Below are 16,053 nucleotides of genomic sequence, written 5' to 3'. Positions count from 1 at the left end.
CACTAACATTTTAATTTCCCCTTTTCTTCTACAGAGAGCTAGCAATCTAGAGAATAGTACCTATGACCTGTACACCATCCCTAAAGATGCTGACTCCCAGAATCCTGATGGTAAGTGTTCTTTTTGTCTACCCCACTCTGCTTCCAGCTCTCCTCACCCGCATCATAACTCCTCTTCAAGTTTTTCACATTCCATCCCCAAGCCATGGCCACATCACTCATGTCTGTTGGCAGGTGCTGCTGACAATTGCATCAGAGGCGACCATGGTGTGAAATATTCATGTTCCTCCTCCATTTTATTACCCCAGCTAGATATATATATTTTATAATTTGGTTATTAGAAACTCTCCATTCTCTCTTTCAGCACAGCATGTTATCCTAGTTTATTGTCAGTTGATATGACTTTCACCCTGGTAGTTTCATTTATTTAAAAATGTGGTTCCAATCTTATAATGCCTCATCCTGGGACTAGGGATTTATACTGTCCTATCCACATCCAGATCCGATTTGCTTCCTTTTGCATGTCAAAAAGATGAGGCTGCTAACAGCCCCACACCCCACCTGGGATCCCAGGATCCAGCTGAGACTCCTGCCTACCTCTTCCATTACCACTATCCCTTGTTGATGTCCTTGTGATTAGAACTTGCTGACAAAACATTCTCAGAATGGATTTGACTATTGCCTATGGTCTTTTGGGTGCACTTCTTCCAGCGGGTTTATGGCTAGTACCAGGTCAGAGATTTATTCTGCAGATCCCCACTCTTACTGGCATATTTTAATGATATTTTAGACCCCATCAACAGATTCCTAAGAAATAATTTGCTAGCTCTGTTTCTTTTGTGGGTGCCCCTGGGTTATTATTGTTGCTAATCGATCTCCTCTCTTTTAAATGTGTTCATAGTGAGAGAAAGAAAAGATATTTGTATTTGGTATCCATAAGTCAAAGTCTCCCTTATAAATTAGTCAGTTAAGCCATTTCTGACTAAATCTTATGGTTTGGTACCTCCCAACTAGCTCTTTGCTTTTTTTTTTCCCCATCTGTGTTTACAATTAATAGAATTTAAAATATTTTGTTTTGTTTTATTACCACTTTTATTTTCTGTACTTCATTTTTTGAGGGAGATAATAATAAAGGAGCAGCCCAGTGGTGGGCAACAGAGATGGGCTTGAATAATGCAGATTCCTGGCCCCTGGAAAACGGGAGTGTTGGTTTTGATAATAATTAGTTTCATAAATTGCCTGCCACTCCAGATGCCAGGGGCAAGACTGGCCAGCATGTTCTCTCCAGTTTTCTGCTGGTCTAATAGGTAAAAGAGTATTTTGATGCACCCTTCTGTTTATCCTTCTACAAGTTTCCCAGAGAATGGAGTGTCCATTTCAAAATTCTAATAAGCCACTGAACTGAGGAACATTTTGTAACTCTCTTCAGGGTGATAAGAATGGTCAGTTGACATTTACAGAGCAACAACTTGGTTCTAAATACCGCCCAGCACCAAGCTCTCCTGTCAAGATTTAGTTGGGAGTGCTCTGCCTCACCCTGCCCTACTAGGAAGTCTGCATTTGCATGTTAAAAGCAGCAGAGAGCAGCTGCATCCTGTGGAGGGGGTCCTATGACACAGGCTTGCTTTGCCGCAGCTTGGCCAGGGAGGCCCTGCTCGTTAGCTTGATGGAGTGTGCTGTCTCCCAAGATGGGCGGCCCTTCTGCCAGTACATGATGTTGGCTGAAATGCAACCACTTGGCCTAGAGAAAAGAGCCTTGGCAGGGGTGGTGGTTGGTGTTTGGAGGGGACTGGTGGGGAAAAGTCACTCAATAATAGCCCCAGGTTATGGCTGAATTAGTTAGGAAGCAGCTCAACTGGCAAAGCCAAGATGGCATCCAGCAAGACTGGCAGCTCCATGGCACCCGACTATGTCACCTGCCAGTGACTCACCACATGCTCCCACCCTTTGGTTTTGTTCTTCTCAGCGCCTGAAGGGAAACGATCCTCAGGCCTGACAGCCGTTTGGGTCGCTCGAAATCGGTTTGCTGTCCTAGATCGGATGCATTCGGTGAGTTAAGACTAAAAGCAGAAACTAATTTGGGGAGTGTGGTGGCAGTGGCCTGTGTATTGCAAAATAAAGACCATTGTTTTTTCTGTTCTCCCCCGGGCAGCCGTGATTCTCATGTATTGGCTGTACCTCTGTCTCTAGCCCTACACTAAGCCCTCTTGGGGGAATGGCATTAAAACTGATTTGATTGGGTTGATGATCGCCGTGGCTCTGGGTTTAAGAACCAAGCTAAAGTCACTCTTGACTACAGGAGCCCAAAACGCATCAAATCTGAAGTGAGTGGGCTGGATGAGGAAATTTCCCTCCTTCTGCTGCCTCCATTGTTACTTGAAATGTAATAGGTCCAGCACAAGATAAAGCACTCTGAAGAAAATATTTAACAAAATTTAAGCCCCAGAAACAGTGTTTTCTCTCTCTCATTCATTGAGAAATTCAGACTTTAGTTGGGACTTCTCAGGATGTTTTAGTTGGAGGAGAAAAAATAATGTATTAAGGCCCTTAGAGAAGATCTTGGTTGGCATGGTCTGTCTGCAGTGGTAATTGACATGGACAGGACAAAAAATACTTAGTTAATTGAAGCTAAGGAACAATTGCTGAGGAACATCATCAGTTGTCATCATCATCTATACACATTTCTTCTCTTAACCCCATCTTTAATACTTATTGCAGCTTCTGATCAAGAATCTGAAGAATGAGATCACCAAAAAGGTACAGGTGCCCAACTGTGATGAGATCTTCTATGCTGGCACAGGCAATCTCCTGCTTCGAGATGCGGACTCTATCACACTCTTTGACGTACAGCAGAAGCGGTAACATATCAGGTGCCCCTAAGCAGACAGCCCTGTAGTTGGGGAGAGTGGACATCTTTAGTGGGAACCTTTTTTCCCCAAGTGAGTTTGTCTTGTGGCTTGGCCACTTCTTGTGCTCCAAGACTCTTTATAGTAACTTTTCCCTTCTGTGATCACTCTCCATTCTTCACGTCCACACTAGCATTACAGTGAGATTCTTGGTTATTTATCTGTTTTTACAGTACTTACCTGAACAAAGCGTGTTCTCCGAGCTTAGAATGAGAGAGAGACAGAGATTAATAACATAGTTCCTACATTTAAGGGAGCTTGCAGTCCAGTGGTGAAAACAGACATACACAGATTCCCTAATAATACAAGGAAATGAGGGAGAGGGGGTTGAGGAAGGGGTAAGTGCACAATGTGAGCCAAAATGTTTAAGTCACTGAGCTACTATGTAGGAATTACATTAAGTATTTTATGTAATTAGAATTACATTAAGAAATTGGGGTTTACATTAATTAGAGGGTGCAATTGATGTAGATCAAAGCCTGAGACAAGGGAAATAGATCCATTCATGTTTGCACATCTCTATCTATCTCAGGACTCTGGCATCTGTGAAGATTTCTAAAGTGAAATACGTTATCTGGTCAGCAGACATGTCACATGTAGCACTACTAGCCAAACACGGTGAGTCTTCATTATATCCACCCTGATTTAGAGACCATTCCCTTCCACCCCGATCCCTGCCAGTCTACGGCACTTACCCTATCCAACAGAACACTCATGCCCTTTGCCTCTTACAGCCATTGTGATCTGTAACCGCAAACTGGATGCTTTATGTAACATTCATGAGAACATTCGTGTCAAGAGTGGGGCCTGGGATGAGAGTGGGGTATTTATCTATACCACAAGCAACCACATCAAATATGCTGTCACCACTGGGTAAGTTAATTATCTGGGATACAGAATGGGAGAAGACAGCTTCCTGAAATCACTGTCTTGTCTTGAGATGTAACTGAAGTCCTCCATGAATTTTCTTCATGGAAAAGCCTTACCTGGCATATATGTGCAAGGGGCATCAGAACATTCTTTTTTCAACTTTTTTAAAATTGAGAAATCTAAAACAAATATAGACAATTACATTAAAAAAAAATAGAATAACAAATAAGTTATGTAGTGAACATCAGCATAACTACCACCCAAGTCAAAAAATAGAACAGTTCCGGCACCCCAGAAGCCCTTTGCCACGTGGTCACAACCCTCCCTGTTTCCACCAACAGTAACATTCTAGTTTTTACAGTAATTTCTTCCTTGCTTTTCTTTGTAATTTTACTGCCCTGTGTTTCTTAATATGATTTAGTTTTGCCTGGTTTTGCCTTCATATAAATGAAATCATACTGAATATATTATTTCATATTTTGCCCAATATTTTGTTTGTAAGATTCATCCATCTTGTAGCTCCAATGTATTTATTTTCATTTTTGTATAATTATATGATTATGCCACAGTTTGTCAGTTCTACTCTTAAGGAATATTTGAGTGAATTCTAGTTTTTGGCTTGTATGAACAATGCTCTTAAACATTCTTTTTTACCTGTTTTCTGGGGTACATGTACATACATTTCTCTAGAGTGTATCCCCAGAATAGAATTGCTAGGCCATGGATTATGCATATCTTCACATTTATTAGGCAATGTGAAACTGCTTTTCTTTTTTTTCTGAAACGGAGTCTCGCCCAGGCTGGAGTGCAGTGGTGTGACCTTGGCTCACTGCAACCTCCGCCTCCTGGGTTCAAGTGATTCTCCTGCCTCAGCCTCCCGAGTAGCTGGGATTACAGGCACACACCACCACACCCAGCTAATTTTTGTATTTTTAGTAGAGACAGGGTTTCACCATGTTGGCCAGGCTGGTTTTGAGCTCTTGACCTTGTGATCTGCCCACCTTGGCCCCCCAAAGTGCTGGGATTACAGGCGTGAGCCACCGCGCCCAGCTGTGAAACTGCTTTTCAAAGTGATTGTACCAATTTGCATGCCCACCAGCTTGGTATAAAAATTTCCTTTTGGGTTGGGCGTGGTGGCTCACGTCTGTAATCCCAGCACTTTGGGAGGCTGAGGCAGGCAGATCACTGGAGGTCAGGAGTTCAAGACCAGCCTGAGCAACATGGAGAAACCCTCTCTCCTAAAAATAAAAAAAAATTAGCTGGGTGTGGTGGTGGTGCCTGTAATCCCAGCTACTCCGGAGGCTGAGGCAGGAGAATCACTTGAACCCAGGAGGCAAAGGCTGCAGTGATCCATGGTCGTACCATTGCACTCCAGCCTGGGCAACGAGCGAAACTCTGTCTCAAAAAAAAAAGAACAAAAAATTTCCTTTCTTGTCTTCTTGACAAGTTTGGTGAGACTTATTTTTGTCCATCTGATGGATGCGTAATGGTATCTCCTTGTAATTTTGTTTTGCTGTTCTCTGTTTCCTAATGAGATTGAGCACCTTTTCATCTGGCCATCCAGTAGGATTTCCTCTTATGTGAATTCTGTTCAAATCTTTAATCTATTTTATATTATCTTTCTTTTTTGCATGTCAGTCCTTTGTCAGAGCTACATGTTGCAAATATTAGTATCTCCTCTTTTGTAGCATGTCTTCTGATTTTCTTTATGGTATCCTTTAATGAACAGTCTTAATTTCAATGTAGTTGAGTTTATGAATCTTTATCTTTTATGGATATTAGGTTTCATCCTATTTTTAAAATATTTATTGACTCCCAAATCATAAAGCCATTCTTCTGTATTCTTCTGTAAAAACATTGTAACTTTGCTTTTTATATCTAGGTCTATAATCTACCTGACATTGATAGTTATGTATGGTGTGAGGTATAGAAAGCTCAATCCCACTTTTTCCATAAGGACACTCAATTGCCCAGCAGCATTATTGAAAAGACCGTTCTTTCTCCATTGTTCTGCAGTCTCGTCTTTGTTATACATAAATCATGTTTTCAAATGTGGTCTGTCTATCTCTGCTCTAATTCCACACTGTCTTAAATAATGTAGCTTTATGATAAATCTTCACATCTGGTACAACTTTTCCTTTGATCCTATTTTGTTTATTTTTTAAAAGTCGTTAGGGTATTTTCAAGTAAATTTTGCCTTCTCACGTAAGTTTTGTTGTTGTTGTTGTTGCTGTTTTGAGATGGAGTCTCACTCTGTTGCCCAGGCTGGAGTACAGTGGCGTAATCTTGGCTCACTGCAACCTCTGCTTCCCAGGTTCAAGTGATTCTCCTGTCTCCCAGGTTCAAGTGATTCTCCTGCCTCAGCCTCCTGAGTAGCTGGTATTATAGGCGCATGCCACCACACCCAGCTAATACTTGTATTTTGAGTAGAGATGGGGTTTCACCATATTGGCCAGGCTGGTCTCGAACTCCTGACCTCAAGCCATCCTCCCACATCAGCTTCCCAAAGTGCTGGGATTGCAGGCATTAGCCACCATGCCCGGCCCTTCATATAAGTTTTTAAAGTAACTTGTGAAATTCCGGGCCCAGCACGGTCGCTCACGCCTGTAATCCCAGCACTTTGGGAGGCTGAGGCGGGTGGATCACGAGGTCAGGAGATCGAGACCATCCTGGCTAACACGGTGAAACCCCATCTCTACTAAAAATACAAAAAGCTAGCTGGGCGTGGTGGTGGGCGCCTGTAGTCCCAGCTGCTCAGGAGGCTGATGCAGGAGAATGGCATGAACCTGGGAGGCGGAGGTTGCAGTGAGCTGAGATCGCGCCACTGCACTCCAACCTGGGCGACAGAGTGAGACTCCATCTCAAAAAAAAAAAAAAAAAAAAAAAGTAACTTGTGAAATTCCACACAAAAAAAGTTTGTGGTTTCGTTTGGAATTGCATTAATTCTCTACATCAGTTGGGGGATAACTGTCATCTTTACAGTCCTTACAGTGTTCAGTTTCCTAATCTGTGAACTTGGTATAGCAGCTCTTCATTCATTTAGGTCTTCTGAAACATCCTTCAATAAAGTTTTATAGTTTTCTCTATAGAGATCTTGCATTTCTTTGGTTAGATTTATTAGACACTTGATGGTTTTAAAATTCTGTTTGTAAATGGATAATATCTATTTAAAATTTTAATTTTCTAATTTTGTTGATATTTAGAAATACAGTTAATTCAATTTAAATACAATAAAATCAATTTAAAATTGATTTTAGGAATCTTGCTAGACTCTTATCAATTCCAGGATTTATTTCTATTTCCTTTACAAATAATCATAGTATCTGTGGGTAATGACAATTTAGTTTCTCTTTCAAGTACTTATATATTACTATATTTTTCTTGCTTACTGCACTGACTAGGATCTCCAGCAATGTGGAATTAACATGATGACAGCAAACATTCTTGTCTTATTCCTAACTTAAAGGGTGAACTTTCAGTGTGTTAGAATTATGTGAGCTTACAGTAGATTTTTAAAATGTATATCCCTTTTCTATGAAGGAATTTTGCTATTTCTTTTTGCTAAGAGTTTTTTTTTTTACCTTGGTAAAATTCAACATTTACCAACCTAAATGTTGAATTTATTTATTTATATCTATTTATTAAATTAATGTAATTTAACTATTTTTGGCAGAGAGTCTCACTCTGTTGCCCATTGTGTAGTGGCACAATCTTGGCTCACTGCAACCTCTGCCTCCTGGGCTCAAGTTATCCTCCCAGCTCAGCCTCCCAAGTAGCTGAGACTACAGGCATATGCCACCATGCCCAGCTCATTTTTGTTTTTTTTGTAGTGATGGGGTTTCACCATGTTGCTCAGGCTGGTCTTGAACTCCTGGGCTCAAGCAGTCGGCCTGCCGTGGCCTCCCAGAGTGTTGAGATTACAGGCATGAGCCACCATGCCCGGCCTAAATATTGAATTTTATTAAATAACTTTTCTGCATATACAGGTTGAGTGTCCCTTACTTGACATGCTTGAAACCAGAATTATTTTATATTTCTGATTTTTTTCTGATTTTGGAATATTTGTGTTACTGATTGAACATCCCACATCCAAAAATCTGAAATCCATACTGCTCCAATGAACATTTCCTTTGAGTGTCACTTCAGTGCTCAGTTTTGGATTTTGGAGCATTTCAGATTTCCTGTTTGGGATGCTCAGCCAGCATTGGGGTAGTCATACAATTTTTCTCCTTTCATTGATTAATGTAGTGAATTAAATTGATTTTTTTTTATTTTTTATTTTTTTTGAGACAGAGTCTCACCCCAGGCTGGAGTACAGTGGCATGACCTCAGCTCACTGCAACCTCCACCTCCCGGGTTCAAGCACCTCAGCTCACTGCAACCTCCACCTCCCGGGTTCAAGCAATTCTTGTGCATCAGTCTCCCAAGTAGCTGGGATTATAGGCATGAGCCATTACGCCTGGCTAATTTTGAATTTTTAATAGAGATGAGGTTTTGCCGTGTTGTTCAGGTTGGTCTTGAACTCCTGACCTCAGGTGATCCGCCTGCCTCAGCCTCCCAAAGTGCTGGGATTACAGGCATGAGCCACTGTGCCCAGCTGATTTTTTATAAATGTTAAATCAACACTATATTCCTGATGTAAACCTAACTTGGTCTTGATATTTTTACCCTTTTCAAATATTGCTAGCTTTAGGTTGCTAATATTTTACTTATGTTTTCACATATTTATAAGTGAGATTACCTGTAATTTTCCCTTTTCTTACTGTCCTTGTTAGGTTTTAGTATCAAGGTTGTGTGAATTTCATAAAGCAAAGTAATGTATTTTTTCTGTTCCCTCAATGAGTTTGCATACAACTGGAATTAATTCTTCCTTGAATATTGGTTAGAATTTGCCCTTGAAGTCATATGGACATAGGACTTTCTCTATGGGAGGATTTTAAAAATCTGATTCAGTTTATTTAGCCATTATAGGACTATAGGTGTTTTCTATTTATTTTTGATTCAACTTTGGCAAATTTTATTTTTTAGGAGTTTGATCCTTCTATTTATTTATTTATTTATTTATTTATTTATTTATTTATTTATTTATTTTGAGTCGGAGTCTCACTCCCAGTCTCACCCAGGCTGGAGTGCAATGGTACGACCTCGGCTCACGGCAACCTCCGTCTCTCGGGTTCAAGTGACTCTCCTGCCTCAGCCTTCCGAGTAGTTGGGATTACAGACATGCACCACCACTCCTGGCTAATTTTTGTATTTTTAGTAGAGACGGGGTTTCACCATGTTGGCCAGGCTGGTCTTGAACTCCTGGCTTCATGTGATCTACCCGCCTCGGCCTCCCAAAGTGCTGGGATTATAGATGTGAGCCACTGTACCTGGCCAGTTTGATTCTCTTAAAAAGTTACATCTTTATTCTGCAAGATCTGTAGTGATATCCCCTTTTTCATTCCTATTGTTTTCTTTTCTCTGAATTACCCTCATGAGAGGCTTATCAATTTTATTCAAGTTTTGCTTTCATTGAACTTCTCTACTGTAGTTTTTGTTTTTTATTTAATTTCTACTATTGGCTTCATTATTTTCTTCTAAGTACTTTCTTTGGCTTAAAAAGAACAGTAAATTTTTTGAGATGACTGCTTGTTAATTTTCAGTTTCTCCTAATATATGCATGTAGAACCCAATAATTTTTAATATTTCTTCTAATGCAGTCTGTAAATTATCTGTTAAATGTTGCATTAGCTATATTGACAAACTTCAATTTGCAATCTATTTATTATTATTCAGTTCAAAATACTTTGTTTTTTATTATTTCTTTATCAGAACTCTTCACATCTACCTCTCTTCTACTTTCAGTTATAGATTATAAAGGAGTTACCTGTCCATAATCACCTACTGATTATATATCAGAACTTAAGATTTAACTTTTAGGTCTGATTCCTATAGCCACATCTGTTACTCATCTTCTAGGATAATAGCATATAAAGATCGTGCCATCTACCCCATCGTAGAAAGAATATGATAAATTTGGCATTTAGTTCTGCTCTTTTTTGAATCACTTCCCATCTATATCATTGTTCAAATGGCACTTGACAAAAGACCGTTTCCTAGGTTTGTTCCGTTTCTTCACAGGATGGATTTTCCCTCTCACTTACTGAAAGCTGTGCCCTCTGTTCTTAGGGACCACGGGATCATTCGAACTCTGGATTTACCCATCTATGTCACACGGGTGAAGGGCAACAATGTATACTGCCTAGACAGGGAGTGTCGTCCCCGGGTACTCACCATTGATCCCACTGAGTTCAAATTCAAGCTGGCCCTGATCAACAGAAAATATGATGAGGTATGAAGTGAGGATGCAAACTAGAGTATTAAGAGAGGCAGCACTCTTTTTTTTTTTCTTTTCCTGTAAGTGATGTCTACTTCTTGCCCGACTCCACCCCAAATGTCTAGGTACTGCACATGGTGAGGAATGCCAAACTAGTTGGCCAGTCTATTATTGCTTATCTCCAGAAGAAGGGCTATCCTGAAGTGGCACTGCATTTTGTCAAGGATGAGAAAACTCGCTTTAGTCTGGCACTGGAGTGTGGAAACATTGAGGTGAGAGGAATATGGTCATCAGCCCCATATTGTCTTAGAGGTGAGAGAGTTAGAGTGCCATTGGGAGGGCATTATTCTGGGCTTGCTTCTTTAGCCAGAATAATGAAATTTGGGATTTTTTTTAGTTGTTACATTGAGCCATCTTCCTGTTGCTATTTGCCCATCTCTACTTTTACCTGCCTCTGCTTCTGCCACCGCATTTCTATTTTTGTCAACCTCAATTAGTGTGAATTCAGTAACTTCTAGGATAAAAGCAAGATGGCATGGAATTTGAAAATCTTATTATTTCCTTGACACTTGATCTTGCTGACTGGCTACTTAGATGAAAGAGTACCTACTAAGCGTTGGGGCCTAGAATGTATAGGCATTGTTTTCTAAGGCGAAAAGAGCTTATGAAAACGTTTTCCAGTTCTGAACTTCTTCCTAGTAGTATTTCTTCTGTCTTTGCTAAAGCCCCTGTGGATCTTCAAACCTGGCAGGTGGGAAGTAAGGTAGCTAAGCAAGAACTGGCTCTATGGAATCAGCAACTGCTAGGTGGTTTTGTTGTAAAAGTAAATTTCTGAGGAGGAGGAGGAGGATAATGCGATGTAATTATTTCCATCTCTGTATCCAAAGGGGTCCTATGTGTTCACTGGATTTTCTTTTTTTTTTTTTCTTTTTTTTGAGGCGGAGTCTCGCTCTTGTTGCCCAGGCTGGAGTGCAATGGCATGATCTCGGCTCACTGCAACCTCCGCCTCCTGGGTCCAAGCGATTCTCCTGCCTCAGCTTCCCGAGTAGGTGGGACTACAGGCGTGCACCATGATTCCCAGCTAATTTTTTTTGTATTTTTAGTAGAGACAGGGTTTCACCATGTTGGCCAGGATGGTCTCGAGCTCTTGACCTCGGGATCCGCCTGCCTTGGCCTCCCAAAGTGCTGGGATTACAGATGTGAGCCACCGCACCCAGCCGATTTTCAATGGAATTAGACTAAAAGCTAGGAGTAATTGAAAGTATAGGAAGTTCTTCAGGAAATCTATATAGATGCAGATGCTTTGCAGAGTCCTTGGTTTTGAGTCACATTGTCCTTCAACCTGTTAACACGACCCTGGGGATTCTTTAGATTGCTCTGGAAGCAGCCAAAGCACTGGATGACAAGAACTGCTGGGAAAAGCTGGGAGAAGTGGCCCTGCTGCAGGGGAACCACCAGATTGTGGAAATGTGCTATCAGCGTACCAAAAACTTTGACAAACTTTCCTTCCTGTATCTTATCACTGGCAACTTAGAAAAACTTCGCAAGATGATGAAGATTGGTGAGGCCCTCAAACTAAGGATGGGAAGAGGGGTTCTTGGGGGAAGGAGGAAGGTGAATTAAGGAGAAAGAGAACTTAAGAGAAAAGACCTAACTTGGTGTCTCTTACTTGGTGCAGCTGAGATCAGAAAGGACATGAGTGGCCACTATCAGAATGCCCTATACCTGGGTGATGTGTCAGAGCGTGTGCGGATCCTGAAGAACTGTGGACAGAGTAAGTATCCGAGACTTGCCAGCTTTTTCAGGGTCTGAGGAAGTATTTTTCTGTTTTTGTTGAGTTAATCTGTGTATAGTGGTGAGGGATTTCTCTTTATTGTGCATTTTTTTAGGAGAGACAACATGCTCCTACTGTGCTTAGAAGATTTTCTTCAAAGCCAAAGGGAGGTGCAGCCAGAATATTCAGTCCAGCCAAACACCCTTAGGAGAATAGTTATTCATGGGGGAGATAGGAGGTTTTAAAAGGTCTTGAGTGGACGCCCTAGTAAATGCACTTGGTTGGATGCCATTAGAATTTTATTCTTTATTTTCAGTTTGGAGGTTTCACTCATTTATTCATGTATATAGTCAAGGGATATTTTTTGAGAACCCACTATATACCAAGCATTATATTAGCATTTAAGATACATTAGGAAACAAGCAAGGTGAAAGATGAGGTTTGGACCAAGGCGCTATTAGTGGAGGGGTGAGCAGTGGTCAGATTCAGGATATATTTTAAGGTAGAAACAACATGATTTATTGCGGTAACTAGATTTGAGATGTAACAGAGAGGAGTCAGGGATATCCAAGGTTCTCAGCACGGATGGATACGTCTCAAAGATAAGCAGCTATATTAGTTCTCTATTTCTGTGTAACAAATTATCCCCAAATTTAGTAGTTTAAAACCACAAACATTTATTATTTCACAATTTGTGGCATGGCTTAGCTAGGTGCCTCCGGCTTAGGATCTCTCATGAGGCTACAGTCAAAGTGTTGGCCAGAACTGCAGATATCTGAAGACTCACCGGGGAGAGAATCTACTTCTGCACTCACTCAATGGCCATTGGCAGCCCCCATGTCCTTGCTCCCTGTTGTCTAAGAAACATCACTTTCTTTTCGTGTTGACCTCTCCATAGGAGTTTGTAACGTGGTAGCTAGTTTCCCTTACAGCAAGTGAGCAAAAGAGGGCACCCCAAGATAGAAGCCACAATCTTTGTAACCAGATCTAGGAAGTAACATCCCATCACATCTGCCATGTTCCATCCATTAGAAGCTATTTAATAAATCCAGCCCACACTTAAGAGGTGGGTATTTTGCAACAACTTGAATACCAGGAGTCAGGGATTACTGGGGGGCCATTTCAGAGGTTGCTTACCACAGCAGCATGCATTTGGAAATGTACCTATACCACAAAGTCTGTTTTCTCTACAGAGTCCCTGGCCTATCTCACAGCTGCTACCCATGGCTTAGATGAAGAAGCTGAGAGCCTAAAGGAGACATTTGACCCAGAGAAGGAGACAGTGAGTCTTTATTTACATAATTGTCTCTTATTACAGGATTAACTCTAGGATCTTAGAACAATTTAAAATTATGAATGTCACTCTCCCACCTGGTTACCAGGAGAGGCAGAGAAACAAATGAGATCAAAGGAGGCTCCATAACTTTCCTTACGTGACTTCCAAGTGCTATTTGTTTTTAGCCTCTTTTCTTCTACTATTCAGATCCCAGACATTGACCCTAATGCCAAGCTGCTCCAGCCACCTGCACCTATCATGCCATTGGATACCAATTGGCCTTTATTGACTGTATCCAAAGGATTTTTTGAAGGCACCATTGCCAGCAAAGGTAAGTACCTATTTCTCCCATAGCACTTTTGTTGTTTGTTTTGTGAAGAACTGTCCTAGAGAATACCATTAGCATTTAGTTTAACTTGTCCTTTTTTTCTGCATGGAGCCTAATGGAATATTGAAATGCCAGTCATTTATGGTGCAGTCTTAAAAACTTAAGATAGCATTTTCAGGTCATTAAAGAAAATTTGGAAAATAGGGAGAAAAAAAGGGATCCCTCTACTACCATCAATAACTTCGGTTAATATTTTGGTGTATTTTCTTAGGTTTTACTATATATGTAGTCATGTTCTTTGTTCAGTATTTTATCATTCATGACATACAATCTTAAAGGTACTAATTCAACTACCTGTAATTCCGGTATGTGGGTATAGGCAGATGTGTGCTATCACCCTCCACCACTTCCACCCTTAACCTCCTCCTGTTTTCTGGGTCTCCTAGTTCATTTCCCGTGAGTAAGAGCCTAAACAGACTCTTGAGCATTTTGTGCCAAACCCCACTCTTTTCTCCACCTCCTCTATCTACCCTATGCCTGATGCCCTGTACACATTGTAGTGGTGGTAGCTTAGCAAAGCGCTCAGGAAGAAATTCAAGAGTTGGTAGCCAAAGGCTGGTAAGTACAAATTATTTAAGAGCCAGTTTTTGGTAGCAGGAAGGCCAGTTCCTTCCATCTGTCTTCTATTCCCTCCCTCTGTGAAAGCTACTGCAAGTTAGCATAACATATATACCACAAAAATAAATAATACACAAAAATAAATAGTAAGTAGGCAGAAGCTTGGCACCTGTTTTTGAAAGGATTTAACCTGCCTACAGAAAAGGCCGTATCTCAGACTTGCTGGACTATAACCAGTTCCGTTCTGTTCCTTCCCTCTGTAGGGAAGGGAGGAGCACTGGCTGCTGACATTGACATTGACACTGTTGGTACAGAGGGCTGGGGAGAGGATGCAGAGCTGCAGTTGGATGAAGGTAAAAGTGCTGTTTTAAGACTGTTCTGGGGTGATGGACACCTTGGATTGGGACTGGGTTGTGGGTAGCTCTGCAGACTTCCAGGCCATGAAACGAACTAGGATTGATTTTACTTCCTTTGGCTAAGATTATGCCACTGCCCAAATCTGTTTTGAGCTTGAATTTTCCTTACAGATGGGTTTGTGGAGGCTACAGAAGGTTTGGGGGATGATGCTCTTGGCAAGGGACAGGAAGAAGGAGGTGGCTGGGATGTAGAAGAAGATCTGGAGCTCCCTCCTGAGCTGGTATGTGGAATTTGTACCCTTAGAAGGTTCTCTCCGTATCTCCCTGTGGAAGCCAGAGGCCTTATTGTCCCCTACCACTATCCTCAGGTCTCCTATCCTATCCCCTACCACTATCCTAAGGTCAGCCCTTCTGGGAAGGGGACTAGACCCTCCTAGTCTGATGCTTATCTCCCATTTGAAAGAAGGAAGATGGCTGGGCACGGTGACTCATGCCTGTAATCCCAGCACTTTGGGAGGCTAAGGCAGGACAATTGCTTGAGCCCAGGAGTTCAAGACCAGCCTGGGCACCATAGCAAGACCCTGTCTCTATTTTAAAAAGTAAAAGAAGCAGGAAGAACGAGAGAGTCAAAGTTAGTGGCCTTGTCACTTCCATCTATCCTGATATGCTCCAAGAGGAGAGGATGTAGGACTTATCTCTAATCTGATGCTTAACTCCCATTTGAAAGAAAGAAGAATGAGGTAATCAGCGTTCTGCCAGCAGCAGCTTATGAGAAGGTAGCAAGCTGTTTCATCTGAATTGGAGTTTTTGATATGTCATTTTGTCACTGGTGAGGTGGCTCCTATTTTGGCAGCCTTCTCCCACAACTATCACCCCTCTTCCTCAGTGGGGGCAGGGAACAATGTAAATGGTTGTGTTCTAGATTCAACAGAACAAAGTGCTTGAATGGCTTAAAAAATTACTCAATTTGGCTGGGCACAGTGGCTCACGCCTGTAATGCTAGCACTTTGGGAGGCTGAGCCAGGCAGATCACTTGAACTCAGGAGTTGGAGACCAGCCTGGGCAACATGGCAAAACCCCATCTCTACAAAAAAATACAAAAATTAGCCAGGTGTGGTGACTCATGCCTGCAGTCCCAGCTACTCGGGAAGCTGAGGTTGGAGGATTGCTTGAGCATGGGAGGCAGAGGTTGCAGTGTGCCGAGATCATGCCTCTGTACTCCAGTCTAGGTGACAGAGTGTGACCCTGTCTCAAAAAAAAAAAAAAAATTACTCAATACTCAATTTTTGTTTTTCCCCTAGGATATATCCCCTGGGGCAGCTGGTGGGGCTGAAGATGGTTTCTTTGTGCCCCCAACCAAGGGAACAAGTCCAACTCAGGTAAGCGGGAAGAAACCTAGCACGGCAGGGATGAGTGGCTAATACTTGATTGGTATATAACAGGTGTTGGCTACTTTTCTACTATAGTTACAGAGGAGAATAGAGAAGGGACAAAGTTTCACTTGGCTTGGGTTTTTTTGTTTCTTGTTAGATCTGGTGTAATAACTCTCAGCTTCCAGTTGATCACATCCTGGCAGGCTCTTTCGAAACAGCCATGCGGGTAAGTAA

The 16,053-nt window shown here is 41.6% G+C and overlaps 1 protein-coding gene across 2 annotated transcripts in view; it reads left to right on the top strand.

Moving 5' to 3' along the window:
- The window catches only part of COPA (coat protein complex I subunit alpha), a 54,657-nt gene that overhangs the window by 34,040 nt on the left and 4,564 nt on the right, over nucleotides 1–16,053 (top strand). Inside the window, exons 13-27 of one of the 2 annotated variants that reach the window (NM_004371.4) lie at nucleotides 35–110; nucleotides 1,966–2,048; nucleotides 2,718–2,857; nucleotides 3,438–3,523; nucleotides 3,640–3,778; nucleotides 9,947–10,109; nucleotides 10,220–10,366; nucleotides 11,466–11,655; nucleotides 11,773–11,868; nucleotides 13,062–13,150; nucleotides 13,352–13,475; nucleotides 14,354–14,443; nucleotides 14,618–14,727; nucleotides 15,748–15,825; nucleotides 15,977–16,045. In NM_004371.4, coding sequence (NP_004362.2) covers nucleotides 35–110; nucleotides 1,966–2,048; nucleotides 2,718–2,857; nucleotides 3,438–3,523; nucleotides 3,640–3,778; nucleotides 9,947–10,109; nucleotides 10,220–10,366; nucleotides 11,466–11,655; nucleotides 11,773–11,868; nucleotides 13,062–13,150; nucleotides 13,352–13,475; nucleotides 14,354–14,443; nucleotides 14,618–14,727; nucleotides 15,748–15,825; nucleotides 15,977–16,045 — 1,680 coding nt within the window. Of the gene's footprint in view, nucleotides 1–34; nucleotides 111–1,965; nucleotides 2,049–2,717; nucleotides 2,858–3,437; nucleotides 3,524–3,612; nucleotides 3,779–9,946; nucleotides 10,110–10,219; nucleotides 10,367–11,465; nucleotides 11,656–11,772; nucleotides 11,869–13,061; nucleotides 13,151–13,351; nucleotides 13,476–14,353; nucleotides 14,444–14,617; nucleotides 14,728–15,747; nucleotides 15,826–15,976; nucleotides 16,046–16,053 lie in introns of both variants that reach the window. The other variant, NM_001098398.2, reaches the window with a different exon arrangement.

The sequence above is a fragment of the Homo sapiens genome, chromosome 1 (assembly GCF_000001405.40).
Source record: "Homo sapiens chromosome 1, GRCh38.p14 Primary Assembly".
Taxonomy (NCBI): domain Eukaryota; kingdom Metazoa; phylum Chordata; class Mammalia; order Primates; family Hominidae; genus Homo; species Homo sapiens.
The sequence above is the reverse complement of the archived record's forward strand: the minus strand, read 5'-3'. Positions and strand labels throughout refer to the sequence as shown.